The sequence below is a fragment of the Homo sapiens genome, chromosome 7 (genome assembly GCF_000001405.40).
Source record: "Homo sapiens chromosome 7, GRCh38.p14 Primary Assembly".
NCBI classification, from domain to species: Eukaryota; Metazoa; Chordata; class Mammalia; order Primates; family Hominidae; genus Homo; species Homo sapiens.
Window position 1 is genome coordinate 120,950,777 of NC_000007.14, and position 27,413 is coordinate 120,978,189.

At 35.6% G+C, this 27,413-nt stretch overlaps 1 protein-coding gene and 1 long non-coding RNA gene across 5 annotated transcripts, besides 1 other annotated feature; one reads left to right on the plus strand and one right to left on the minus strand.

Annotated features, from left to right (window-relative positions):
• ING3 (inhibitor of growth family member 3) lies at nt 1–26,440 on the plus strand. 4 transcript variants are annotated; one of them, NM_019071.3, is made up of 12 exons: nt 1–148; nt 388–459; nt 2,528–2,628; nt 4,783–4,848; nt 13,966–14,062; nt 15,850–15,921; nt 16,753–16,872; nt 17,158–17,315; nt 18,235–18,428; nt 19,912–20,104; nt 22,429–22,467; nt 23,952–26,440. In NM_019071.3, exons 1-12 carry the CDS (start codon nt 121–123, stop codon nt 24,066–24,068), a joined length of 1,257 nt encoding a protein of 418 aa, NP_061944.2. In that variant the 5' UTR covers nt 1–120; the 3' UTR covers nt 24,069–26,440. The 4 variants fall into 4 exon arrangements, with proteins under 4 accessions (NP_061944.2, XP_047276491.1, NP_938008.1 ...); XM_047420535.1 differs by lacking the exons at nt 13,966–14,062; nt 16,753–16,872; nt 17,158–17,315; ... (2 more) ...; nt 22,429–22,467; nt 23,952–26,440; NM_198267.2 differs by lacking the exons at nt 13,966–14,062; nt 15,850–15,921; nt 16,753–16,872; ... (3 more) ...; nt 22,429–22,467; nt 23,952–26,440 and adding an exon at nt 5,384–6,204.
• Nucleotides 544–623: an enhancer, noted in NCBI's record as "active region_26555". NCBI's record gives its function as "activates an Ori minimal core promoter by ATAC-STARR-seq in GM12878 lymphoblastoid cells {active_cell/tissue: GM12878}" and the evidence as "EXISTENCE:reporter gene assay evidence [ECO:0000049][PMID:35858748]".
• On the minus strand, nt 14,480–20,569 carry LOC124901734 (uncharacterized). Its single transcript, XR_007060492.1, has 3 exons — nt 20,425–20,569; nt 14,927–15,057; nt 14,480–14,695 (listed from the first exon to the last, which is right to left on the minus strand). It is a non-coding gene; the product is annotated as an uncharacterized LOC124901734 (long non-coding RNA).

The following is a 27,413-nucleotide window of genomic DNA, read 5'->3' on the forward strand; positions in this document are numbered from 1 at the left end:
CCGGAGTCGAGCGGGTGCTGCTAGCGGAGGCGCCATATTGGAGGGGACAAAACTCCGGCGACAGCGAGTGACACAAATAAACCCCTGGACCCCCTTGTTCCCTCAGCTCTAAGGGCCGCGATGTTGTACCTAGAAGACTATCTGGAAAGTGAGTGCGCGGCGCTGGCGGCGGCCGCCAGTGGGACGTGCGGGCGGGCAAGAGCGCGAGTGGACGGGCAGCGAGATGGCGGGAGGGAGGGGGCGGCGGGGGATGTTTCTTTCTCACGGTAACTGGCAGCCTCGTTGTGGGCTGCCGGCCCCCTCGACCCCCCTGACGCACGCGCGCAGTGACGTAAGCGCGTATTTCGCCGTTGGCCCCGCCCCTCTGACGGACTCTCCCTTTGACAGTGATTGAGCAGCTTCCTATGGATCTGCGGGACCGCTTCACGGAAATGCGCGAGATGGACCTGCAGGTGCAGAGTAAGTCGGCGCGTCTACTACTCCTGTTCGCTGCGCGCGTTCAGTGCCAGACTTGCTTGTCATCACTGCTAGCGCCTAGTGCTCTTTCACTGTCCTCTGGCTCACTCCGCTAGTGCATAAGGAGTTGTCAAAAAGAACTGGCAGCCCTGAATCTCGCCTTCCCCTTCCCTCCCATGCTACTTTTTTCTGGCTTTTGCAAGAGCAGGAGGCATTGGGACACGTGTATTCCTTTCTAGAATGTGGGATTGTGCAAAAAATATTTCTCTACCGTCATTGACATAGTTATCTATGTTTCAATGGACGTCAGCATAATAAATGTTGAGATGTCGTCTTGAGCCTTTTCGTATCGAACTTAGATTTCAGCATTTATACTTATTTTAAAGTTCATCCTATTCACAGTTTTTCAAGAGTGGAAAGCACAGAAGCAGAGGTTATATATAGCTCTTTAGAGACCATGGCAAATGTCAAATTTTGAAAACTTAGTTACACATTAGATACATTTTAAATTGTAACAGAATCGTCATTTTCTTGGTTAAAATGAGTGACAGAAATTAGATTTCACTGTAAAGTTTCTTATGTGCTGTACTAAAAATTTTAGCAGTTAATGAACATTTCTTTTTCTTTCAGTGATAGCTTGGTAGTCTCTAGGACTTTTTCCCCAAATTAACTTTGCTCTTTCATAGAGCAACGACTATAAATAGGTGGCTCAGGGACCACCTGCTGCAGCTAAGAACCTGTCCTTTTCACTGCTCCTGGCTTCTCTGCCCATGACCACACACCCACTTCTATACCCTTTGCTTATGAGTATATTTTTCCGGTAAGTTTCAGGTGGCACATAATAAAAAGTGGTGGCATGGAAGCCACTTTCTGTTCAGTGGATTGTGATATGAAGTATGAATTGTGTGTGTGGTTCTCCAGCTATCTCACAAATTCATTTTAATTTTAGTGTAGTTGAAATGCTGAAGATTTGCTGAAGTAGTGTTCTCTGCAGGACTGAGCACAGACATTGATGTCAGATCTGAGTTTGTTTTAGGGCTTTACTAATTTACTCATTGACTCTGACTGTATTATCACTTGTGAGGGGCTTACATTGTCTATAAAAAGAGAATCATCCAAGGATTTAAAATGTTACACATGGATTAGAATTTCTAGTATCTGATACAAAGTAGGCATTAAATAAAGGGTAACTTACTTTAAATTATTTTTATATTTTATTGTTTAAAATTTTAAATTCTCTTGTAATTTGGGCTTACATTATACATATTACAGGCTTTTTAAACGTGCATTTCTTTACAGTAACTAGAATTTTCTAAAGTTAATAGGTATTATGGATTAACAGAACTGTGTGCCAAATAAATTCAGAAATGCTTATTTAAACAAAGGAACATACTTCTAAAAAATTAACCATAGGACTTCATAGAGTCTTTAAAAGGCTATTGTGGACTGGAAATCTCCAAAAGAAGTATATTATGAAAAGATTTTTCTCAACTTACATAACAACAGAATCTTTTTTATTAATTTTTCCTTTTTTTTTTTAGCAGACATCCAATGAGATGATTAGTCTTGGCATATAATTTGGGGAAAACTTACCTAGAATTAATGTTTAAATGATTGTACCTACTACTTTCAGTTGGGATATGACATGATGAGATGTTTAATGCCATATACCAAATATTTTTATCACTTTTTCTTGTTAAAAGAAATGTGAGGATTATCTAATGGTGTTTTAATTGTGTTTCGGTACATTTGTCTGATTTAATACCATTAGCTTTTGACCTAAAGGCTTTATTGCTCAAAAATTATAGTATAGAGCCTATCTACTTTGGCTGTTGGAAAAAATTTTGAAGTAACAAAAACAAAAATAATCTGTCAATAAGGAAAATTGTAACTTTTTAAAGGAAGATAATTGAGGCATTATATATTTACACAATCAAAGCATAACATATTTAAGTTACTGGCAAGGTGAAAGAGTGTGTATTGTCAGATTTTTTCCCTCCCTAAATCAAACCATGTATATTTAGTATATGAATTTGGTCATTTAATATGAATTTTTTTTATTATGTCATAGATGCAATGGATCAACTAGAACAAAGAGTCAGTGAATTCTTTATGAATGCAAAGAAAAATAAACCTGAGTGGAGGGAAGAGCAAATGGCATCCATCAAAAAAGTATGTGCAACACTTTGGATAATTTATCAAGAAATATTGGGACCCTCTGAAAAAGATATTTCAAAATTAAATAGTGGTCTGGATATCAAAATGAGAGAATATTATCAATGACTCCTTAGAATATAAATAATTTATTGTGGTTTAGAGCTTCAGATAGGGATTTTTAGTCATTAAAGCGTTTTGGTAATTAAAAATATTGTTTCAATAATTACTGAGTATTAGAAAGTGACAGACCATTTAAAAGTTACTTTTTTTTCTATTAGTTTGTTTTATTCTAGTTGAGATAGAGTACTGTATTCCAGTTTTGGCCACAAACTAGGTAAATAAACATGAGCAGACCTTGAAGAATATTTTATATATTGCTAGGTACTTAAATTAGTGGACCCACAGAAGAACGAAATCTTAAAAGTTAGAAGGAATTTAAGAAAGCCTTCTAGTTTAAACTCTAAATTTGCACACGAATTGGTCTGGAAACATAGAATTCTTTGAGGTTTTGTTAGTTTTATAGTGGCTATAGCTGTCTTCCAGAATTGAATGAGTATACACGTACATCTCAAAGTTTGCTTTGAAAGTATGATTGAGTTCATTTAGGGATGGATACATTGGAAAAACAACTTAAAAGACTTGAGTTTGGTCATGATTCTGCTATTTAGCTGTGTGACATTAAATCTTAATATTTCTGAATAATAATGCCTTCCTAAACCCAATGTTCATAGAATTGTTCAAGGATCAACTAAGAGGCCTGGCGTGGTGGCTCACACCCATAATCCTAGCACTTTGAGAGGCTGAGGCGGGTGGATCACCTGAGGTCAGGAGTTCGAGACCAGCCTGGCCAACCTGGTGAAACCTCGTCTCTACTAAAAATACAAAAATTAGCTGGGCGTGGTGGTGGGCGCCTGTGATCCCAGCTACTCGAGAGACTGAGACAGGAGAATCACTTGAACCCAGGAGGTGGAGGTTGCAGTGAGCCTAGATCGCGCCACTGCACTACAGCCTGGGCAACAGAGTGACAGAGTGAGACTCCGTCTCAAAAAAAAAAAAGGGTCCACTAAGGAAGAAATTTGGAAACTACAAATTGAGTAGTTCTGTTATGATATGTTATTTATTCTACCACATGGAGGGAAGATTGTTTCTCTTAGGAAAAAAAAAAATCATAATCTATAACAGAAGTGGTCCTAGCTTGGAAGATACCTGGAGGGACATGTGTTTGTGAGTAAAGACATGTTATATCCACATCCCAGAGTCACTAATCATTTCTTTAACCTGTGGAGTGCACCTTAAGTATACCCTGAAAAGTCTAGTACTCCATGGAAATTCATAGTATCATCTTCTTTCCCCCTCTTTTTTAAAAAAAAATTTAATAAGTTGAGGCAAAATCTAAAATACAGATTGAGTTGTATGAATATATACCTAATTTAAAGTGGGAGTTATAGAACAACTGGAAAATGGGGAAATGCAGATCAGAATCCTTTCAATAGCTGAACTTTAACAAAAATTTTTTAATGGAATGCAAATGTACTTTACAAGTTAGATCAATTTTAGTTAACTTTTTATTTTAAATACTGTTCATTAACTCATATAGCTTTTTCTAGACTTACAATGGCATTTACTTTTAATTATATCCTTTCTAGAAATTCTGAACATCTCCCTTTTACTCTTGGCCATTGTGCATAGTTTCTAATCCTATACCATCCCCACCCTATTTCTAACAGGTTTTTGTTTTGTTTTGTTTTTTGTTTTTTTGAGACAGAGTCTCGCTCTGTTGTCCAAGCTGGAGTGCAGTGGCCCAATCTCGGCTCACTGCAACCTCTGGCTCCCGGTTCAAGCACTTCTTGTGCCTCAACCTCCTGAGTAGCTGGGATTACAGGCGCCCACTACCATGCCCGGCTAATTTTTGTATTTTTAGTAGAGATGAGGTTTTGTCATGTTGGCCAGGCTGGTCCCAAACTCCTGACCTCAAGTCATCCGTCCTCCTTGGCCTCCAAAAGGGATTACAGGCGTGAGCCACTGCCCCTGGCCTCTAACAGGTTTTTTATTACTAAGGTAGGATGACTGTGATAACAAGATATGATAATGAAAATGCAGTTGTATGTCCTGCATATGAATATTTTAAAATGATTAATTTATTTTTGAAATGAAAATGTTTTCATTCAGGACTACTATAAAGCTTTGGAAGATGCAGATGAGAAGGTTCAGTTGGCAAACCAGATATATGACTTGGTAAGTAAAAGTAATGTGCATACTGTGCCATAAGTACTTGAATAACAGATTATATCTTAAATTGTATTGGCTTAAATGTAGTAGGAAGAAGCAACTAAAACTGAAGTATTGCTCTCTTGATCACATCTAATTTGACATTTCAGTGTCCATTTTATGGTTTCTTTGTGGAAAAGTCAGAGTGGTTAGTTAATGTGGTGAGAACTGTACATTTTAGCAAGTCTATACGGCGGTAAGGTGGTTTCTGATGTTAGATATTTTTTAAACAAGAATTAATGTTTAACTTTATTTTACTAATCCTTGTCTTCTTAAGGTAGTGTGTTTACTTGCCTTATACATCATTTTGAGATTGTTTCTGTGGTAAAATACACCTAAGAAGACTGCTTTGACAAGAGTTCTTGGTAGTCTGATTAAAATGAAGAAGAATCATTTGAATCAGTGTTTATGTGAGTGATGTTAAAAGATCGTATGTAACAGCTGTGTCAGTTGTTTAAGCAATACAAGATGACAAACTTTAAACAAGATTCTTTTTTTGCAGCAGCACTTCTAAAAGATTGAAAACACCAAGAAGATAGATAGAATATTCACTATTTCTCATATTGATGCAATTGTGGTGCTCTTTTTCATTTGAAACATCTTCTCCTAAAATATACACTTTAAGAAATAGTCATTTCTGTTTTTGCATTAAAGTAAATTAAAGCAGAAAACACATGCTCACTTTTGGCTAACTTCAGTGTATAGATTTCATACTTATGTTGTCTTTCCTGGGTACAGATTTATTACTGAACAAGTACGTGTAAGTAAAATGTCATTGGTGAGCAGGACACAAGATAAAAGGTGAACACCACATATGGTGTGAATTGTAAATGCTTATACCACAAACTTGAAAATGTGTCATGTAGAGCCATGGAAAATGTCTAGTTGTTTTTATGTAGTACACACATTTTAATGGTGCTAACAACCTGGGCTCTTTTGTTCATAGAGTTATTCTGAAAAAAATTTCATAAAAGACACTGCCTAAAGATAGGTAGAATAGGCTGTAGCTTGATTTACTGTGGAATAAAAACCAAAAAAAAAAAGGTCTTAATTGTTTCAGTCTTTAATTATGTCTATAAACTTAGAAAAAGGCATTTACATTTGAATCTAGACTAATTTGTTTAGTAACATTCTTCCTCATATTCAATGACTGTATGTATCAGTCCTTATTTAGAGACTGCCTGCTTTTTAATTCATATAGCTCTTTGGTTCTATTCTTTGTTTTGTTTATTATTTTGTTGTTTTATTGCTTGTTAGACCTTTACTAAAGATATTTTGTGTATTTAGAAAAAATATAACATAAATATATGCTTTTTAAATATGTGTGTGTGTGTATTCATCTCTTATTTAAAAACCACACTGTTCATCCACTCTGTGCCTGAAAAAAGGGAGCTGTACCTGGGTCTAATGGAGGAATAAAAAGTAAATACTAGGCCGGGCGCAGTGGCTCACGCCTGTAATCCCAGCACTTTGGGAGGCCGAGGAGAGTAGATCACGAGATCAGGAGATCGCGACCATCCTGGCTAACATGGTGAAACCCCATCTCTACTAAAAATACAAAAATATTAGCCGGGCCTGGTGGCGGGTGCCTGTAGTTCCAGCTACTCGGGAGGCCGAGACAGGAGAATGGCGGGAACCCGGGAGGCGGAGCTTGCAGTGAGCAGAGATCGCGCCACTGCACTCCAGCCTGGGCGACAGAGAGCGACTCTGTCTTAAAAAAAAAAAAAAAAGTAATACTAGAAATGGCTCTTGTCCTCAAGGTGTCTGTAAACTACTGTTGTGGGGCAGACATACCTGCAAACTAAAGTGGAGAATCCATACAGAAACATGTAATAAACATTAACCAGTTGAATATTAAGGGGTGTCTACTGAAAAACATTGAAGTAAGTCATGCAGAGTTACTTACTGATTTCTTAGAGGGTATAGGAAGAGTTTTGAACAGAGTTTGTTTAGAAAGTCAAGGTCCTGAATTAGGTATTGTATTGAGGGGAAAGCATTTCACTCAGAGATAATGGCATAAACAGAAGGAAAGTACAAATTCAGAAATTAATTGAGAAGGGATAGATTCCAAGGCTAAAGAGTGAAGTAATAAAGGCGAGGTAGTAAATTTAATAAAGCATAAGAAATACAACAGAAAGCAAGTGTCCATAATGGATCCATGCAGATGTGAGTTCAAACCCTAGCTCAGCCATTTCACTGACACCATGACTTTGGAAAAGTTATTTAATCTTGAACCACAGTTTCCTGCTGTAAAAAAGCAATATTAATTTATACCTTACTGAAGGGTTTGCATTAGAATACATACAATGCTATTAGTTTGGCAGATAGTAGGATTTGCTCCTTCTTTAAGAACTCAGTCCATCTCATTTCCTGAACTGGAATTTTCTATTTTCCTGAAGCCACTGCTTCCCTTTCAACTCTGCCAAGTGGAAGCTGCTGTCTCTCACTCTCCTAGTATCTCTGAGGCTTCTTTTTGTCTTTTCTTCTTTTTCTTCCCCCACCCTTTCTTTTCTGCCCCCACCTTTGCTCTACCCTCTTCCTTTTTATTATTTTTTTTCTTTTTCCCTTTCTCCTTCCCTGCCTTTCTTTTTAAATACTTTAATCCTATTTCAGGTGAACATTATATCCTTAATATAAAAAATCCCTTCTCTTTCAGACTTAGTGATAATCATCTCAGTTACCCTCTGCCTCTTATCACTATAATTTAATGGCTTCTAGGTGAGGCTCAGATTGAAAAACTGGTACCCGGTTCACAGTTCTCTGTTGCAATCATCTTATACTACCTAGTCATCTACTTCTTTGGCTTTTGTAAATGCTAATCCACTTCAGTCGCCACAGACTGAACCTGATCATCACTTGGAATTGCCCTGCCTCTGATACTTCTTGCGTCTACACTTCCTCCTATTTTATCAGCCCTTTCCTATTCAATCAAGAGACTGGTTGAGCTCTTGACCACTTTTCTTACAGGTACCTTCCACATTGTTGCTGCCTTAGGGCATGTTTTTACTTGCTGCATCTTTGCTTCATCACTTATGCCTTCTCTTTTTCATCTTTAGCCTCTTTTCTTTCTATTGGCTTCTATACCACAGCATTTAAACATGCTCAGGTCTTCCTCATATTTAAAAAGAACTCAGGCAATCTAATATAAATCGTGTCGTGACCGTGACTCTGCTTTAGCTAGTGTAGTCTTCCTTAATTTCTCATTCAGACTCTTTGACACTCCCTTACCTTCAATTTATTCCTAAATTTATGGCAATTGGGGTTCTATTTACTAATCCTCTATAACTTCATTTAATGAATTCTTTATTGCTAAATTCATCAGACAGCTTCAATTCTTTTTAACTGACCCTATTGGTAAATTTAATGCTTATTGCCATTCGTTTTGTCTTGCCATTCTTGACCTTGTATTACCATGTGACTGCCTGCTCTAGATGCTCCCACCTTTGTGACCTTTCTTAGTCTCCTTCTTGGGTACAGCTCATAATGATGGTGTTCCTCAGGGTTCTGTCCTTGACCTACATGGTTTCTTACTCTTCAAGTGGTTCTCACATGAAGGTGATTGTCTTCCCCTCTTCTACCTGCCAAGAGGGCCAGGAAGAACAAATTCCACAGCGTAAAGACCTGTTCTTTCAAATGCAAGTTTTATCCCCAACCTTTGCACACCACCCAAGTTGAGAGACACTCCTCTATTGCAATTCCATGTGTTCTCTTAGTGTTAACAATTATACGTTAATTATTCCTGAAGCCCAAGCTGTTTCTTTGAGTCTTTTAATCTTAGCTGACTATTCCCAGGCCCTAGAACTCAGTGTTTTGAAATTTAAAACTCAAAGCATCTCCTTTTTCTTCTCTAACTACCCTCCCCTGCCCCATCACCAACTTTTTGTTTCTAAATCTCACATGAACCACACTGACCTTGTAGTCATTCAGATTAGGGCACTGAAAGTCACCCTATACTCCTTGTCACTTCCTCACATTTTTTTTTTTTTTTTTTTTTTTTTTTTTTTTTGAGACGGAGTCTCACTCTTTCGCCCAAGCTGGACTGCAGTGGCGCTATCCCGGCTCACTGCAAGCTCCGCCTCTTGGGTTCATGCCATTCTCCTGCCTCAGCCTCCCGAGTAGCTGGGATTACAGGCGCCCACCACCACGCCCGGCTAATTTTTTGTATTTTTAGTAGAGACGGGGTTTCACCGTGTTAGCCAGGATGGTCTCGAACTCCTGACCTCGTGATCCGCCCGCCTCGGCCTCCCAAAGTGCTGGGATTACAGGCGTGAGCCACCACACCTGGCCTGGCAAACTATTAAATAAAGACTATTTTAGATTTCGATAAGTACACAGGAGGAAATAAACATTGTAGAAAGAGAGGAAGGGGGAGAAAGGGAGAGACAATTGAATAACTGGCGAAGGCTGTTAAGAATGTAGTCTAAGGAGATGACGTTTGAGGTGGTACTTGGAAAATAAGAAAGAACCACCTGTTGGAAAAGCTAAGGAAAGAATGTTTCAGGCACGTGGTATACCAAGGGCAAAGTTTGGAGTGGAAAAGACTTGGCAAGTTGAACCAAGAGAGAGGCCGGGGTGGTTGGTCTGTGGTCTGTAATGGGAAAGGAGCAGCATGAAAGGAAGCAGGCAGGAGCTAATGCATGGGGGCCTTGCGAGCCAGTCTAGGAGGAGAGTGATTCTTAGTCTAAAGCGGTGGGAAGCCAGTGAAGGACTTTAAACAGAGGCGTGGAATATAGACCTTAAAAGAGATTTTGTGTAGGTATGCCTTTGCTTAAACATTATATTATAGGAATTTTAAATAAGCATGTATTACTTTTACAGAATTTATGGTACATCACCATAGTATGCAATTATGTTTGATTTTATCCCTCAGTGTTTTATATGGCGTTGCATTTTGTTGTATTTTTTCATTGAAATATTTTATTTACTTTTAAACCAGTAGTAAACATTTTTTTTCCTGTGACCATCACTGCACTGGTCACCTCATTTATTAAGGAATAAACCAAACTACATATTATCAACATATTATCAATGAAGAAATTTGTTTTAGGGTTCCGGTAGAAGAAACTGACAGTTTATTTTAGTAGCCGTTTTAGTGAAATTTGACTAACACACACAAAAATCTATCCTGTTAAAATAGTTTTGTTCTAGAAGCATGATACTCATAAATAGTTGTTAAATACTTATTTGTGTTTCTCAGCCAGATGTCACTGTCATAAGGATGTATTGGATTGCAATACCTAATAAAGTTGATTTATACATACCCTGATAAAATTTGAGCTTTTAGTTAATGCTTGAATGATTTTAGCAGTCTCTTGCAGTGCTCAATACCCTTGAACTTGCTTCTTTTTTTATATCCTGGCCTGTTCCTGAGATGGTTATATTTCAGATGCACATTTTACCTATAAATTTGAGAGTTTTCATCTGATACTCTAATTAAGGAAATATGTGAGTTTGACCTTTTGATTTCTGTCCTGTCCTTATTGTCTTTCAGGAAGATGATTAGACAGAGTTATATGCTAAGGCCTCTCAAGTATTTGTTTCAGCATAACAATAGGTCACATTTTCATCTAGTTTAAATCTAATTTAGAGATATAAAGAATCATTTTCATGACCTGTTATCTGAGAAATACTTTGCTATCATGGTTTCTTCTTCTTCCCCAATTTACCCTCTTTACTCGCTATTACTAGACCTTTTCATGGTTAGAAATTTAACTTACTGCTGTCTATTTCAACTTAGAATGTAACAGACTTGATTGCCTCTTCCGATAGGGCAAGCTAGACATCTAAATTTTATAAATTGATTGTATTGGAAGCAGTAGATCATGTAGAGACTTTAAAAAAGCTGTATTTAGTTTTGTTTGGGTCCATTAGTGATACACTTTAAATGTGAATATTAGAAAACCAGAGAGTCAAAAAAGAAAGAGTCAAAGATTACAACTCTATGCAAATATTATAGGATGAAGGATTTTTTGTTTGTTTTGTGCAGAGGGGCCAAGTATGACTTAAATTTGCTATGATCATGAGTGTGTTAACAAGTAATGTTGGTAGAATATCCTTTGTCTTTAAAGAGGCTAGAAAAATTATAGGAGTTTAAACTTAAAGCTGTTATGATTTGGGGTTGTAGAATATGATTTGGGATTATAGGGCAAGGAAACTTTGTTTATAGCACTTGTTGACATTAACTGGGAAAAAAAGAAATAATTAGACTCTGTGGTTAGCCCTGTTTTAGGAATCTGTGGCTAATGGAAAATCTCTCAATTGGATCAGTACCCTCTTTACTATTGTAAATCAGTCTTATGAAAGCAGATGTTTGTGGAAGGGTGAGGTAACTTACATCCTTGCTTTGCTTGATGCCTGTGGGGACAACATGGTGATCAGCTAGAAGAGGTGCTGTAACCGTTCAGAATCATGTAGGTTGAGGGAATGCACATGATGGATTTCAGGCAAGTTCACAGCTCTTATTATGGCTGTTTAATATTGTTTAAATATCCTAGTGCTTTATAGCTTAAGTTAATTCTTGTGGTCAATGGGACTTTCCAACTTCTAATTTGATTTAGTACAGCAGTAGTAAATAGAAGAAAAATAATGCTCATTGCCTAATAATTGCTTATAATATTAATCAGGTCATAATCTCTTTTACATATGAGGAAGTAAGAATGATTGGAAGCCGTCTTATAAAGATGCCTACCACAAGTGGTTAAGGCTTTTCTGTCTTTGTTTATTTTAACTATGAATTTGGTTTTTAGAGTTATTAACCCTTTAGGTTCTAGTGCCTTTTCTGAGCTATCTAGTATTGAAAGTCTTGTCATTATTTTTAACATTTTCATATGTAGTGAACTTTATCAATAATATATTTAATAAAATGAAACAATCCTTAAATGCAGAGGTGAAGTGAGTTAGGGCAAGGTGTATGGTATGAAAAAGAAAGGTCTTTATCTCACCCTAACACTACCCCCTCAACCTAACATTCTTGCTCACTGTGCTTTATATACATATTACACGCTACATCATACTTTGTTTTTCTCTAAGCATACTGTTTGTCTTTCTGTCTCTACATTTTTTATTGTGATTCCTTTTTTCCTTCTATTTGAATACAATCCATCTTCACCGTCTTAATTCGTACCTCCTTCGTGTCTACCAGTGTTACTTTTTTATGTACAACTTCTGACTCTTTTTGAACTGTTGCTTATTTGTGACATCTAGACTATATTTTTATCCCTTATTATATTAAAAATCATATATAAATCTTGATTTGTCAGCTAAATTCTAATTCCTATGAAGGCAATGATTCTCTTCCATTCTTCATATATCCTCCATTTAATCCAGCACCAAGCACGTAATAGCTCAATATTTATTATTAGTATAATTGTAGGTACAAAAAGCAATGGAGTGTTTTCGTTGCATTAGTGGTCTTGGAACTTAAATATGAATATTTTTTCTGATTTCCCTTGAGATTAAATTTTGACAATGAAAGAGGTATGCTCAAATAACAGACGTCTGTGTTCACACTATTATTGGAAAGGAAGTTCCATTAAAGGATGCTCAATTACCTGCAGATTCTTTGAATAGGAGCAAGTATCCATAATATGTGATGTTATAGGTTTTTAAATATTCTAGAACTCTGAAAAGTAATGTGTGTGTAAAGGTAGAAGGAAAACTGGCTTTCAGTTTTTGAAAAAATCACAAACCAACACCCTAATGATTGTTGTTAATATATAAAATACAAATAATAGGACAATATTACTAGTTTTTATACTTGAGTTATATTATTCTGAAGAATGTTTTTCAAAAAAAAAACAGTTGTTTTCTGCATGCAGAAAGTTCAGAGGTCAATGTCAGGTAAATGGCAAAGCAGAATTTGTTACAAATAAAGTTAAATTTGGTTTCTGTAATGCATTAGCTATATGACCTTGGGCATATTACTTAAGTAACCCTTCCGAGCCTTAATTTCTTCACCTATAAAGTAGAGACAGTAATAACTTCAAAAGATCAGATCGAGGGCTAGAAAAGATAGGTCATCTGATGCGTCAAGCACATTACCTCCTCTTCATAGGCATCTAACCCATGCACATTGTGTTTTGCTACCTTTCTCCCCTTCTTCCTCATGTTAGTTACACATTATTTAATTCTAAACCTTACTTAAAATGTTGCCCTGGTAGAGTATCATAGCACATGTTGATATCTGTAAGAAAGTTATTTCTAATTCTAGCAGTAATCCAGTGGGAAACTAGACTTAGAAAAGGATGTTATCAATAATGTGACATGAATATTTTTCAAAGAATTTGTGTATTTTTTGGTTTCACTTCAAAGTAATGAGTTTGAAAAAATATTAAAATATTTAATATTAAGTTTAAAAAATACATTAAGACATTTTTTGTTAGTTTGAAGTGTCATATAATTTTCTGAAATTAGTCAAAAGATCTCTCAGTGACAAAATAAAATTTTGCCAAGTTAACTAGGGAAATAGTATTATAAATAAAATAATTTTAACCAGATCCTTTGAGGAATGGAGTTTTCTGGCTAACAATCCCTTTTGTTTCACCTCTTCACATAAATGTTTACAAGCATTATGATTCACTCTCATGCCTTAGAGTAATAGATGTATAGAATATAGGAACTTCTTTGTAGACTGAGGATCTTTCATCATTCTAAATAATAGCTTTTATCGTATGACAGTGTGGATGATGGCCTTATAAGCAGGAGGAGATTAGGCTCTAAGTAATCACAGGGCATATTATGAAAAGTGACCAGCCTCCACCATCCCCTCCTCCCATTCTCTAATCCCTAATCAGTTTTGCTTTAATTTTCATGTCCTGACTTCTGAAAATGGAGTATAGAACATTTCCTAACAAGTTGAGAGTCTGGGTCTTAGAACTTAAAATTTATTGAAGGAGACTTGGGAGATTATTTAGCCTAACACCCTCATTTTATAGATTAAAAACCTCTGAGGCATAGATTAATTGACTTGCTCAAGGATACTAAGCAGATTCACTAAAAGAAACAAAAATTTAGGTTTCCTCATTAAGCTGACACTTTAACAGTGTCCCAAATTTTGGTGGTTATCTTTGATCTTCTTTGAAACAGGTAGATCGACACTTGAGAAAGCTGGATCAGGAACTGGCTAAGTTTAAAATGGAGCTGGAAGCTGATAATGCTGGAATTACAGAAATATTAGAGAGGCGTAAGTAAAATTTACAGTTTTCCATCAATATTGGACAGTACATGTGCAAATCGCTGAGAAGACCTTGTCCCACAGAGGCTTTTGAAATCCTGCCCTTCAATGGATGGTGGCATCCAGGCCAGATAGCTTGGACCCTAACAGTTGGAAATGTTTGGGTCATGCATACTGAGAGAGATAATATAGGATATCATCCACTCACTCTTTATGAAACAACATATTAAATCATTTTATATCCACATATACTAGTAAGTTGAGTGGTAAGAACAAATTTAAAGAAATGTAACCATCGGGAGACAAATTAACCATCTTGCATTAAGTGTGTTGACTTTACTCTGCCTCTTTATACACTTAAGCTTTGAGGAAAGTTGTTAGTTTCTCTTCTTAAGAATTACTTTATGGCTTTTCCTTAACTGCATATACTGAAAAAGACTCACATTGGTTTCATAACACTACCTCTTTTTCTTAAAGAAGTGTTTTCTTCTTTCCCTTAGCAGCAAGAAACCATTTTGATATTTCTTTGCAAGGCTCTATTTGATCTCCTGCTATAACTTACCCCTGTCACTTCTTTGGTGTGACTTCCCAAAAATGGAAGCATGAGCACTGTTTCCTTAACTAATTTAGCATTTCTTCAACCTAAATAGGTAATGTACATAAAAGCAGTTAGTGTGGTACTAGGTGTAGAGTAGGCACTCACTAGATGTTAATTGAACCAAATTAATATTATGGCTAATTTCTACTAGAATTTAATTAAAACTTACAAACCTTCTTTTTCTTGGTGCATTTCAACAGTAAGAATATGTACCTGTTTCTACACACAGATGAAAGATTTCTTTACAGTGCCAATCTATGTATCTCTCTACTCACTAGAAGTCAGCTAGGGAAGCCAATCACAGATCTGTCTTGGTATCCATAGTTGCATTTTTGTGTTCAAAAGTAGATCCATCACTTTAGATAATCATCCTATTTATTTGTGATACTTTTCTTCTGGAGGAACCCTATATAAAGATAATAAGTATTTTGAGACAAAATTAAAAATTCTGTATCTGCTTTGATTTTTTAAAAATGCTGATGATAGCTGTGAGTAATGATAATTCATGCCTATTCAGTACTGCAGGAAGGTTAATAAAGCATCCTCTCTAAGGACACAGACATATGAAACAAAATTGGATCAAGTTATAAAAACTGCTCCACCCTGTGCCCTGCCATAATTTCATCTCAAGGGATCAAAAATAAACCCAGAAAAATGTATTTAGAGGTATTTTAAAGCTTGGTGTTAGAGATTCTATTCCTCACTTTTTGCGAACAAAATCCCTAACTTCTTTTAGGAAGTCTTTATTATCATAATGTCATTTTAATGATCAAATAATTTTTTTCATATAGTAATGTCCCCCATCACGTAGAACTTCAGAATCTCCCATTAAAAGGTCTTCAACTCAGTAAAACTAGGTTGACTCTTACCAGTAATGAGATTACAATGTCCATTCATCCATTTATATGGCACCCACTATGGTGAATTCCCTAATTAGACACGAGTATGCCTTGAGCCATTTTGTACTTAAGATTAATATTGGGAAAAGGATAACTTATTGTTTAGAGAGAGGATAACTCAGTGTGGGATGGACAGTGGTGATCCTCTAACATGTCTGGCTAAAATAAATACAGGCATATGCATCAGAACTTGCTAGTCCTCTGCTGGGTAAGGGAACTCATTGCCTGTAGTTGAGTGACATGTGAAGTTCTGCGGTGACATTTAATGGTGGTGTATCTCTGTGCCTCTCTTCTTTTAGGATCTTTGGAATTAGACACTCCTTCACAGCCAGTGAACAATCACCATGCTCATTCACATACTCCAGTGGAAAGTAAGTTTGGTGTAGTGCAGCTAAGTTTTAAAAACAATGAAAACCTTATTATATCACCTATATGTTCTCTTTTTTTAACTCTACACAACCAATTGAGAAATAAATCCCTTCTTTTTTTTTCATTGCAAGTACTGGCAGACTTGTCTTTTTCCTTGGGGGGAGCATATGTGATTCGGAAATGAGTATTCTGTTTTCTCTTAAATGCGTAGAAGGAGAATGTATAGTACTAATAGCATATATTCCCTTCATACACATACCTGATTCTCCTTAGGGAGCTTTTCAACTGAGCATTCTCCTTAGGGAGCTTTTCAACTGAGCCAAACAATAAGCTATTTTGTAATAGGCCCTTTGTCTTTTTCATCCTTGCTTCTCCAGTGCTTAACCTAATGTTTGGCATATAATTAAGTCTGAATGGTTGGTAAGTCAGTGAGTGGATGAATTGTTAGTTAGATGACTGGCTGGCTGGTTGGTAACAGTCAAAAAATGACTATATCAGTACATCTTTTGACACATCAATTTGGTGGGAAACTATTTTAAGTGGTAGATTGTGTTTTGAAAACAAAATTTCCCTCACATTGTATGTGAGCCCATGGTGTATCTTGGGTTATCTTTAGTACTTTGCTAGAAGTTTTTTAAATGGTGGAGAAGTCTACTCTTAATAAACATGTGACACAGAGTTCTGCTTGTCCTGCCTTCTGAGGAAACATCATGTTCTGTATTTTATGAGGAACCCAGATCATACTGTTTCACATTTTAACTGGATATAAGTATTATGCCTTGTCCATAGTTCTCTAAAGTTTAAAAACACATGAATTTTTTATTTATATTTAGAAAGGAAATATAATCCAACTTCTCACCATACGACAACAGATCATATTCCTGAAAAGAAATTTAAATCTGAAGCTCTTCTATCCACCCTTACGTCAGATGCCTCTAAGGAAAATACACTAGGTAAGTTAATTTTCTTAAATATGATTGCTTTGTTTGTTTGTGTTAGAGTAAGGGGAAATAAAGTGTTTCAGGATTAATGAATCATACAGTTTCTTTACCTGGTTAAAGTATACATATGGAGAAAGAAGAAAAAGGAAAACCAAATACATTATTCAGTTGACTTAATGTACAAGTGACATTAAAAATTTTAATGATTATATGTCTGTGCTGGGAAATAATGTAATTTAGACTCACTAACATTATGTTCTCTGCAACCATTTTTATTTCTTTTTTACATCTACACAGGTTGTCGAAATAATAATTCCACAGCCTCTTCTAACAATGCCTACAATGTGAATTCCTCCCAACCTCTGGGATCCTATAACATTGGCTCGTTATCTTCAGGAACTGGTGCAGGGGCAATTACCATGGCAGCTGCTCAAGCAGTTCAGGCTACAGCTCAGGTAAAAAGTAAAGGGTTTAGAGACAAAATGTTACATTTTGTCGGAATCATTGGAAACCTAATAGAAATAACGGGATGTGAACAAATAGTTTTCTAACGTTGTATATTTTCATTTTTAAGTCATGATTTCACGATATGTGATATTTTATTTAATGAAATAATACATAGGAATTGCCTGATTGATAATGAAAACTAAAAAATAGGTTTATCATGCGGATTACATGCAGACCCTTCTCACAATAACTGCTCATGTTGCCCATGTTCTTGACTGCAGTCCACAGCACATGCTAGCATAGTTCTTCGTTCTTTCTGCCAGTTCCAAGGCTTCCCCTGTAGCCTTGGACTTAGGTCATCTTGAGTTTGTTCACTTCTGTATAGTTTGCCTATATTCCAAATTAAGAAGCTGCCCATCCCATAGTTTATATTCTAACTGTGTAAAATCTTATTTTAAATCTTTAAATGAAAAAGGTTAGGCCAGGCATGGTGACTCACACCTGTAATCCCAGCTCTTTGATAGGCCGAGGCAGGTGGATCACTTGAGGTCAGGAGTTCAAAACCAGCCTGGTCAACATGGTGAAACTCCATTTCTACTAAAAATACAAAAAAATTAGCTGGGTGCCTGGTGGGTGCCTGTAATCCCAGCTACTCGGTAGGCTATGGCAGGAGAATTGCTTGAACCTGAGAGGTGGAGGTTGCAGCGAGCCAAAATCGTGCCACTAGACTCCAGCCCAAGCGACAGATTGAAACTCCACCTCAAAAAAAAAAAAAAAAAAAAGCTTAAATTCCAGTGATGAAAATAATAGTTTAAACAATATAAATTAACATTTGATAAACCAAAATAAAACTATAATTTGTAAAACTTGAAAAAGAAAATCTACATATTTACATATATTGATGCTATCAATGAATGTCTATTTAAGATGAAGGAGGGACGAAGAACATCAAGTTTAAAAGCCAGTTATGAAGCATTTAAGAATAATGACTTTCAGTTGGGAAAAGAATTTTCAATGGCCAGGGAAACAGTTGGCTATTCATCATCTTCGGCACTTATGACAACATTAACACAGAATGCCAGTTCATCAGCAGCCGACTCACGGAGTGGTCGAAAGAGCAAGTAAGTTTTATTGTTACAGTAGCCCTATACCTTTACTGAACACTTGGTCTACTTGACACTTCAGCCAGGCCTCTCTATGTTAAAGGCAGGATATAACGGATTAAAATTAACCTTGCAGAGGTAGGGAGACATGCGGTTTTCATTTTATAGTGCCATACTTTGAAGGTGTCAAGTCTTTAAAAAGTGTTAGAGTTGTTTTTAATTTTTCTAGAGTCATAAATTGAGTTTGTTAATACATGACTTCTTTTTATCTTCTTTTATTCATTAAGATAAATCATTTTATGGAACTGCTTTTCATTTATTACCCTTTATTTTGCCATGTGTTTCAAGGTAAATTAATGCAATGCAAATTATATCCTGGTGATTTTTTTTTTTTAAACAAGATTTTTCATTTTGATTAACAGCAAGCAAGGCGTCTTCATTCTTAGTCTTGGGTCCCAAAAACTGATGGTGTAAAAATATCCCTAGATTTTGTATATGAGACTTGGGATGACTGTATAAGCTTTAAATATGAAAACCTAATAGCATTTATCACTGTCTATCCCAGGTAACTGAATATGCTGGGTGTTTATACATAATGAAAGTTCAAATGCTAGGCCAAAATAATTAGTTACCTAGTAGTTATATTTTCTGTATTTTAAAATATGTTATATTTTTTGTGAATTAATCCCTTAAAGAACGATCAATATGAAATAACCACAACAGAAGTGTCAAACATCTTAAAAATTAATTCATCTTAATGGTACAAGTTTAATGTAATTTCTTATGATAAAGTTCTATACTTTTAGAATTTAAATAGCATAGGGCTTAGCAGTAAATTACTTGTGAATTTTTACAGTCTTGGTTCCCTGCCATACTCATGGTAGGTATTCACACATCAGTTGATGGTTATAACCACTTTCATCAAATGTTTTTGTGTGTGTGTGCTTTAGGTTTTGATGAAGAGTATTCAGTTTACTTAAAAATACGAATAATGAGTGGCTGGGCGGGGTGGCTCATGCCTATAATCCCAGCACTTTGGGAGGCCGAGGTGGGCAGATCACGAGGTCAGGAGATCGAGACCATCCTGGCTAACACGATGAAACCCCATCTCTACTAAAAATACAAAAAATTAGCCAGGCATGGTGGCGGGCGCCTGTAGTCCCAGCTACTCGGGAGGCTGAGGCAGGAGAATGGCGTGAACCTGGGAGGTGGAGCTTGCGGTGTGCAGAGATCGCGCCACTGCACTCCAGTCTGGGCAACAGAGCGAGACTCCATCTCAAAAAAAAAAAAAAAATACAAATAATGTCTGTAAAGTAGCCAGAACTTATGTTAATTCTTCAAAGTACTACCTACAATTTAAGTCATTGGTAAATCCGGATTACTTTAGCTTACACTTTAATTTATACATTTGATGTCATTTCATTTTATACTATTTATTTAGGAGTTATTCTCAGTTAACTTCTGGATGGTGAGCAAATAAAACTTATACTATTTTTTTCAGAAACAACAACAAGTCTTCAAGCCAGCAGTCATCATCTTCCTCCTCCTCTTCTTCCTTATCATCGTGTTCTTCATCATCAACTGTTGTACAAGAAATCTCTCAACAAACAACTGTAGTGCCAGAATCTGATTCAAATAGTCAGGTTGATTGGACTTACGACCCAAATGAACCTCGATACTGCATTTGTAATCAGGTAAAAGTCTGTTATATCTATAAAAGTATAATCTGAATAAACTAGAAGGAAGAGAACTATTTCATTTTTAAGCACTTTTTTAAACTCACTTAAAATACCTTTGCTTTATTTGTATACTTTTCTCCCCCTTCTTACAAAAGTGACATTTGCTGTAAATACTGAGTATAAAGAAAAATGTTACCCATAATCCTAGCCCTCAGATACAACCTGTAACTAAACATTTTTGGTATACCACTACCATATACCTCATGTGCACATTGGCTGCCTTAATAAAATACAACAGACTGGGTAGCTTAAACAACAGAAAATAATTTTCTCACAGGTATGAAGGCTGGGAAGTCCAAGATCAAGGTGTCCACTGACTCAGTTCTGGAGGAGGGCTCCCTTCCTAGATGGAGACTGCTGCCTTCTCACCGGGTCCTCACATGATAGAGGGAGAAAGAGTGTGCTCTGGTGTCTTTTCTTATAAGGGCACCAGCCTTGTCAGAGTAGGACCCCACTCTATGACCTCATTTAACCTTTACCACCTCCTCACAGGCCCTGTTTCCAATTATAGTCACGTTGGGGGTTAGGGCTTCAACATATGATTTTGAGACATAAGCTTGCATTTCATAACACGTGTCTATGCAGATTTGCACATGCATGTGTGTATAAGTTTGTCAGTAGGAACCACAGTGTATACTTTCTTGTTACTGGCTTTTTTCTCTAAATCAGGTATACCGAACATGATTTTTCTTTAAGATCATATTTTTAATTTTCACATAGTTATCTCTTATGCCATCCAGTGTAGTTTTCTTAACCAATACCTAGCTATAGATTATATTAGTGGTTTTAATTTGTTTGAAATTAGGGATAATATTACGATAGGCATTTTTTAAATGTAATCCATTTTATACATCTAATTTCTTGGATAATCTTTTAGAAATAAAATTAGGCTGTAAATATTTGACAGACACCAAAATATATTTTCTAGAAATTTATTACCAAAAATTAATAAACATACCGGTTTACTAAACCCTGTCCAACACTGGATATTATTTTCTTTTAAAAACTAAGTACCAATTTGGTAGTTTTATATTATGATTGTTTTAAATACACTAGTATTATTGAAGTTGGACATTTTTTGACCATTTTTGTTTTTTACATTATGAATCGACTCCTAATGGTGTCGGCTGATTTTTCTATTGTTTTTGTTATGTACTCTAAATATTTGCTTGATTTAGTTTTTTAAAAATAATTCTAAAATTTTAATTTTATGTAGTTATGACTGTTAATTTTTTTTTATGAAGCAAGCCATGGATTATATACTTAGAAGGGCTTTCTCTTTGGCTCTTCTTTCTACAAAAAATTGTCTTGTATAATATTTTCTCCTAGTTTTTATATGGTTTTGTCTAGTTCTTTGCATGCTTCAGTTTCTTCACATTTAAGACTTAGTCTATCAGCAGATTATTGTGTCTAACAGTATGAGTTGCCAGTCTGATTTTTAAAAATTTTAACAATTTGTTAGCTGTTCCACTATCACCCGATAAACATTTTTCAGTACAAATGATAGAAAAGCATATCCTGTATCCTGACAACAAAAGTAGATTACTTGCAAAAGAACAAAATCAGACTGAACCTAGAGTTTTCCTCTGTAACACTAAAAAACTAGAAGGTGATGGAATATGTCTGTAGAGCTTTCAGGGAAAAATTAAGAGCCCCCAAAAACTTGATATTCAGAGAAGTTATTTCTCTGCATAGGACCATGTAAATATATTTTCACTCATGCAGAGAATCAGAAGATATGCCATCTAGTTAATCCTGTCTGAAAAATTATTCAATCCACTGAGAACTTCAGTGAACTCAAGAATTAGCAAGTTATGCCCTAAAGTGCTGGTGATGAAGAGCAAAAGAAAAATGAGAAAGGACATAAAATAGATAAGTTTAGAAGTTTCAAGGAAGGAGACTATTAATTGCAAAAATATAAATGACCTAATGTGACCCAAGAAGTAAAAACTTTCAGTAAGTAAATAATCAAGAAAGGAACTTAAAATTTTTACAATAAGAACTACCCAGAAAGATGACTCCTTCATCCGGGTGATTTATATGTCAAGTTCTTCCAGACTTCTGAAGGGCAGATAATTCCTGTGCATTTCTTCCCACCCTTGCCCCACCCTGCCCAAAAGAGTATTTCAGGAAAAAATTATTATACCTTGATTCTCAATGTAATTGTATATTCAGTGTATTTCCCTTTATTTTCCAGCAGTATCATACATAAACAGTTAATTGGTATCTAGGTGTTTGTTACATAGTCATAATAAAGACATTTAATTTTTTTTAACTAGGTATCTTATGGTGAGATGGTGGGATGTGATAACCAAGATGTAAGTATTACATTTTTCTATTTAGGAATGAAAAAAATCACAGGTTGTTATTACTTGAATATTTGTCTTATTTGCTGTATGGTTTGGTCTAAGAAAACAGGTTTGCAGGTATATTAGTTATATTATGCTAATGCTAGAATATTCCTCTTCAAAATAGGGTAGTGTCCCTTAATGTGTTCCCTATTTTAATTTTTAAAGCTAATTTTATGGTTTTATGTGCAGATTGTCTCAGAAGTGTTATGTTGTATGAAAATTATAAATACCCTCCTTTCCCTTTACTAAAAAATACTGTGTTTACTAGAATCCAGTTCATTTATCACATTGAAGAAATGGAATTTTAAAACAATTCATTCTTTCAGGCTGCACCGTGCTAAAGTGAAGGGTGGGATAATTGAGGATCTAATGTGAGATTATCTTCCTCTCATGAGTATAATATTTTTTCCTGTACTCTGCAGGTGTCAGCTGATAAGAGCCACCCCTGATCTAAAAAGTAAAGGAAATTTGAAAGGAAGGAATTCTTGGTTTTTAGGAGACTTAATTTTAGTTAGAGATACGTTTTTTATTCAATACTGAGAATATTGTTGTCTAGTAATTTTGACTCCCTCCTTATTTAGTAGTGACAGGATCCTAAGATTAACAAGAGTTTTAAATTTGTAAAACAATCTGAAGATTGAGGGAGCTGGCTAGGTGCATTAAAATGTGTACTTTTCCTAGACCTGATAGGGTTACAGCAACATGCTCACGTAGATTGGGACAGAGCCTCCTTCTGTTTCCCTGTCTAGAATCCCTTGTAGGCTGTTTGTGGTTGTTGCAAAAACAATATTGCCCAACCATTTCAAGAACATCACTGTAAACTCTTCTGGGGCAGTTAGTGAAAATGATGAATGAGATTTCTATGAGTACCAGCATCATGCTTCTCTGATTCTTCTTATTCCCAGTTGTGCTCTTCTGAGTGCTAAGACTTTCATGAAAGAGTTTTCTGCTTAATATGTTTCAAAGAGGAATAATTTTTCTCTACATTTCAAGGAATAGAAACACCCACGTAGGAAATGCAGGGCATAAGACATAAATTAATGTCTTTAATTACAATCAGCTTATTCTACTTTATGAGACAGCAAATAAGGCTGACTATTAAATAAAATCTTAAGTTATATTTACCTTCTACATAGAAGATTCATCCCACTTCTTTTTGCCCTTGAAAGCTGAAAACTAGTGAATTTTCATTCATTAGGATGAGGGGACTAGATTACATGGACCTCAGGATTCTTGAAGATGCATAATTTTTCTGTGCCTTCATTTCCTCATTCCTGAAGCTTATCATTTAGTCTAAATGATGTCTAAATAATCTAGATCTAAAAATTCTGATGTCACACATCTAATTATTGTTAAATTAAATGGATTATTCAGTCTCCTGAGCATATTTTAATATACTCTCTTGTCTTCAGAAGTACTGAAAACTTGTTTTTTGCAATTTTGCTTTCTAGTGCCCTATAGAATGGTTCCATTATGGCTGCGTTGGATTGACAGAGGCACCAAAAGGCAAATGGTACTGTCCACAGTGCACTGCTGCAATGAAGAGAAGAGGCAGCAGACACAAATAAAGGTGGTCCTTTTGTTTGATGAAGAAATAAACTTCAGCTGAAGATTTTATATAGGACTTTAAAAAGAAGAGAAGAGAAAGAAGAAACAATGCATTTCCAGGCAACCACTTAAAGGATTTACATAGACAATCCTATAAGATCTTGAACTTGAATTTTATGGGTTGTATTTTAATAATGTAAGTAAATTATTTATGCACTCCTGGTGTGCTATGAATATTATTCCAGTTAGCCTTGGATTATTTCAGTGGCCAACATATGCAGACATTTGTACTCCTCAACCATTTTCTCAAAGTAATGGGCATTCTATGATTTAGACTTCAAGGAATTCCAATGATGAAGATTTTAAGGAAAGTATTTTATATTCAACAGGTATATTCTGCTGCATGTACTGTACTCCAGAGCTGTTATGTAACACTGTATATAAATGGTTGCAAAAAAAAAAAAAAGTCAGTGCTTCTAAAAAGAATTTAAGATAATGGTTTTTAAAATGCCTTTATAATAAGCTTTGTTTCTTTGTGAAACTAATTCAGCAGGCTGAAGGAAATGGTTCATGTGATAATGTGGGCTGGTATCCTCTAGAGTACCTGGGTACATAAACAGAAACTCCTGTAGGTAAAAAGTAATTTGTGCCATTAGTCTTTCTATGTTTCTGCATCCAGATAGAGTGCAGTTCATGAGGGAGGGGGCGGGGGACTGAAGGGGAAAGGGCGTTAAAGTGATACATTTTTATACCAAATGTGTTTATTTTTTTGTGCAAGTAATCCTTAAAATTGCAATTGTATTAGGTGTTAAAATAAAGTTTTTAAAAAATTACTTGTATTTATACTTTACATACTTAATAATGAAAATTTCTGAATTCCAATTAACTTTCAACTTTCATAATCTAAAAAGAATCAGAGACCCAGGACACAGAATACTGTGTAATCTGTGATGTCTTTAATGATGTTTAGAGTTTGTGATATAAGAATACAGGAAAGACATTTTTAATGTAAATTTGAAATGCCAATGTATTTTTTTAAGAACATCATCTGGCTTTTCCTTCAGTCTAAAAGACATGAAAGAAGTGTAAGTATAGCAGTTAAAACGAAAATAATGGTTATGGGTGTTTTGACTGGAGGCAATGTAGCCAAATAGAGTAAAGAGACCCCCCTGGTCGGGAGCTCCAAATTGAGCTATTTTTGATTCTACCACTTACTGATATGACAGTTAATTCAAATTTTGTATCACTCTGGGCCTTACTACACCAGGGTGATGCTGACTGCAGAATAGATCTTATTCTAAGGTGCTATTTAAATTATAAATTTGCATAGTGGAGGTTTTATTTAAAGTATAATATTGAGTCTGGTCGATAGAAAAATCCTTAACTTTTAAGATACTTAATATATCATATATATTTTATATTGAAACTTACTGGGTCCATCAGATTTCTGCTTTAATTAAACCACTTATGAGCTTCTTAGAACTTATTCAGATAACAGTGTAAAATCTATGCAGTGCTACCCAAAGGGTGTGAGGTAGATAGGGGATTTCAAAGATCTCTTCCACCTTTGAGATCCCATGATTCTGAGCTGCCACAGTCTGATTATACAACTCTACCAGCTCCCTAAACAAGTTAGGTTCATTTGTGAGTACTCATCATTTCATAATATCATGATTATCACGATTTCATGATACTCAATATTTTGAGATTTTATAACCCTTTAAGAAGTGATAAATAATGTAGTATTCAATTCGTTTATCAAAGTATATTGCCTGGAAATGCTCACATGTATCATTTACATCCTCTATATATTATGACTATTCCAAACTCATTCATTTTATAGAAATGGTCAAAGGAAAAAGCCTTATGTACAGCCTTATTTGAAGAGAAAGTTCTTTGTCTGAGTCAGGAACATCCTGTTATCCAGCTGCTACATCCCCTTTCAGTGTGAATTCCACTCCTTACCAAATCACTTAGAAAACACTTTGACAAGTTTTAAACTCAAACACTGAATATTTTATGAAGCATGTGTAAAGAAAGAAACCAAAATTTGGTGCAGGTATTTAGTAATGGGTAGAACCTGTTAATATCTGAGTCATATATAATGGGGCCAAACATGGAACTACCTCATCAACCCCCCAAAAATGTGGCCAACTATTAATATTCTTTGTGACATTTACACCAAGGGGCATAGTAAGTATTTTTGGTATTATAAAATACACATTCAAAATCTCTGTTGTACAAAACTCATGTAACAGTTGGGACAAAATATCCAAATGTGGGTTCACAGTTCACAGGTGGTGAAAATTGAGGCCTTACTGCTATGGAGTGTATATCAAAATGTTCATGGTGACACATTTGAAGCAATAAATGGCTTAATTAAATGCCAAAATGAGGCTGAGTGTTTGATAAGCATACAATCATTCTTTTCAAGGGCAGTTTATATTTTTTTGTTCTCTTCTCCTTTAAAGCAAATTCCACGTTTTAGGTTTTTAACCATCTTAGGTTTGTGCAATATTAGTGCCCTTTGTCTTTAGACTTTAGGAATGGTCTTATTGACCTAATTAATTATTTTAATCTTATGCAAATAAATGTCTAACAAACTTGGGTTATAAAGGGGTATAAGATACTCCTTAATGTGTAGACATTGCAATGGTTTCCCCTCAGCTCTCACAGATAAAAATACATTTATTTTTTAGCAGATGGGTTTTAAGAGAAAAAAAGACCCTTAAAAATATTCTTTAACTTTACAAATACTAAGCACCTAGATTCTGAGAATATACAGATGAAGGTATTATATGTGTGTGTGGGGGGAGTTGGTGGGGGCAGACATGTTAAATGTGTTATCTTGATGAATGCTGTAATGGATACACAAAGCACTGGGAGAACACTGGGAGGCAGGGAAATTGATTACTGAAATAGTCAAGAAGACTTAACAAAAGAGCTATCATTTGAACTGAGTCCTAAAGACAGATGTAGTAGAGATGGCCTTCAAGGCAGAAGAGACTCTTCAAGGCCACATGCATTCTGGAACTTAAGGCAGTCTGGAAAGAGTGGCCATGAGGCAGGTAGACAGTGTCAGGGAAAGAAACCAAAAGCCAGCAAGAGTCTATTCATGAAGAGCAGGAATTGTTTGTTATAGGAGTCGAGGGTAACATTTACATATTGTTGGTTAACTGTAGTTATGATTATTTTAACAGTTCAATGAAATCACTGATTTAAGTATGTTCCCTTATTAAGATTATAAAGTAGGGATGACTTAAAATTAATCTGTAACTTGGAAAATGCTAAATTTAGGTGGATCTTTCCCTTGATTTTTGAAAGACAAAACTGCTAGTCAAGATTTTTAGATTTCCTTATTTGGA

Coding starts and splice junctions, on each gene's coding strand:
- ING3 (NM_019071.3), top strand. CDS start 121: ATGTTGTACCTAGAAGACTATCTGGAAA. Junction 14,063..15,849: donor TACAGAAATATTAGAGAGGC/GTAAGTAAAATT, acceptor CTCTTCTTTTAG/GATCTTTGGAATTAGACACT. Junction 16,873..17,157: donor CTCTAAGGAAAATACACTAG/GTAAGTTAATTT, acceptor ACATCTACACAG/GTTGTCGAAATAATAATTCC.